Genomic DNA, 1,898 nt, shown 5'->3' on the forward strand with positions numbered 1-1,898 from the left:
AAATTCTATCTTCATTTCAATAATTAATTTCAAAACCAATTAAGTTCCTGTAATACTGATTCTAATATCTGAGAAAAAAAGCACACATATTTAATTCAATTAGGTTGAATATCTTCTTGTTTTATTATTTTGTTTAATAACTTTAACAAATTTTAAAATGAATACTTTAAAAGGTTTTGAAATCAGTCATAAAGTCTTTTCTATAGAATCACAATGCAGAACTCTTTTATTTATCCACATGATATAACACATTCCCATTTAATATAGCTCTCTGGTATCTGATAACTTAGCATCCTAAAATTTCAATAAACATGCTAGTTAAAAAAAAAACAGACAACATAGAGAAATGGGGGTGAACTTTCTTTCATAGGGGCAGTGCTGTCTCACAGAATGTTCTGTGGTGATGGAAATGTTTTACGTCTTTGCTGCCCAGTACTGCAGCCACTAGCCACATATGGTTATGGGGCATTTATAATGGGGCTAGTGTGACTGAGGAGCTGAATTTTTAATTTTATTTGACTTTAATTAATTCATATTTAAATAGCTATACGTGGTTGGTAGCTACCCTGTTGGAAGGCCCAGCTCCAGAGTTAAGATTGTTGAATTATATTCAGATAAAACTGTTCATGGATACTTGCCACTTAGTAATGTTCCTTTTGCCTTAATAAAATCAATGTTGGGACTTGCCTAATTTCCCAAAAAGAGTAAATTAACTATTTTCATTACCTCTTTACTTTCAATTCTTCCTGGCATATGGTAGGAAATGAGAGCTCCAGCTATTTCCCCTGAGAATATTGTTGGCATTTCATGCTATCCCTGAAATTGTCTAGTTGAGCCCCAGGGGCTCTCCTTATGAGTCCCAAACAGATTTAAAAATGAAGTCCTTTACTTTCTACTTATAGGAGAACAATGAGCAATAATATACCTCTTACTTTTACATGGCTAAAGAGAGTTTACTAATAATCTATTAACAATTATCAGGGCTTACTTTGGGGGATCTGAGGGTGACAGTTATATTCTTGTCCCCACCTGTATTAGTCAGGGTCCCAACAGAAAACAGAAGGCACCCTTAAACTTGTAGTTAAGGAGAGTTTTTAAATGACTCTTCACAAAGTGTAGGCTGGGTTAAAGGAAACCTGCAAGGGGCGGTGCTGTACCCCAGGGCTTGCAACACAGGTGAGCCATCTCACTACTCCTAGAACTGACAGGACAAGCCGAAGAGGCAGTTTCTGTAGGCCATTAGAGAATTGGTGGCTCACACCTGTAATCCCAACACTTTGGGAGGCCGAGGCAGGCGGATCACCTGAGGTCAGGAGTTTGAGACCAGCCTGGCCAACATGGTGAAACCCCATCTCTACTAAAAATACAAAAATTAGCCAGGCATGGTGGCAGGCACCTGTAATCCCAGCTACTCGGGAGGCTGAGGCAGGAGAATCGCTTGAACCCAGGAGGCAGAGGTTACAGTGAGCTGAGATCACGCCATTGAACTCCAGCCTGGGGGACAAGTGCGAGACTTCATCTCAAAAAAAAAAAAAAAAAAAAGAGAGTTGCTGTAGAAGATTGATAGGAGCCATGGTCTTTGTTAAAGGGACACAGCCAACTCTGACAACCTTTTAGTGCATCCCATTGGCTAACTCAACTGGAAGCCAGAAAACAGGGGAGCCTATAGGTACAGTCTGTTAAGGCAGCCTTCTAGAGCACAGGCAGGGTAGATAAACATAAGTGTGACACCTCGTGAGGCAACGAAATTATCTAATCACCCCCTCCCAAGTTTGGAACCAATTGAGAAAGACACAGCCTATTCTAAATTAACAAAGAAAGACCTCAAATGAATTTTAAAAATATCCACTTCATTACTCATGAAAGATAGGTTGAATGACAAGATTCAGATGTGTGTA

Source organism: Homo sapiens, chromosome 4, assembly GCF_000001405.40.
Source record: "Homo sapiens chromosome 4, GRCh38.p14 Primary Assembly".
NCBI classification, from domain to species: Eukaryota; Metazoa; Chordata; class Mammalia; order Primates; family Hominidae; genus Homo; species Homo sapiens.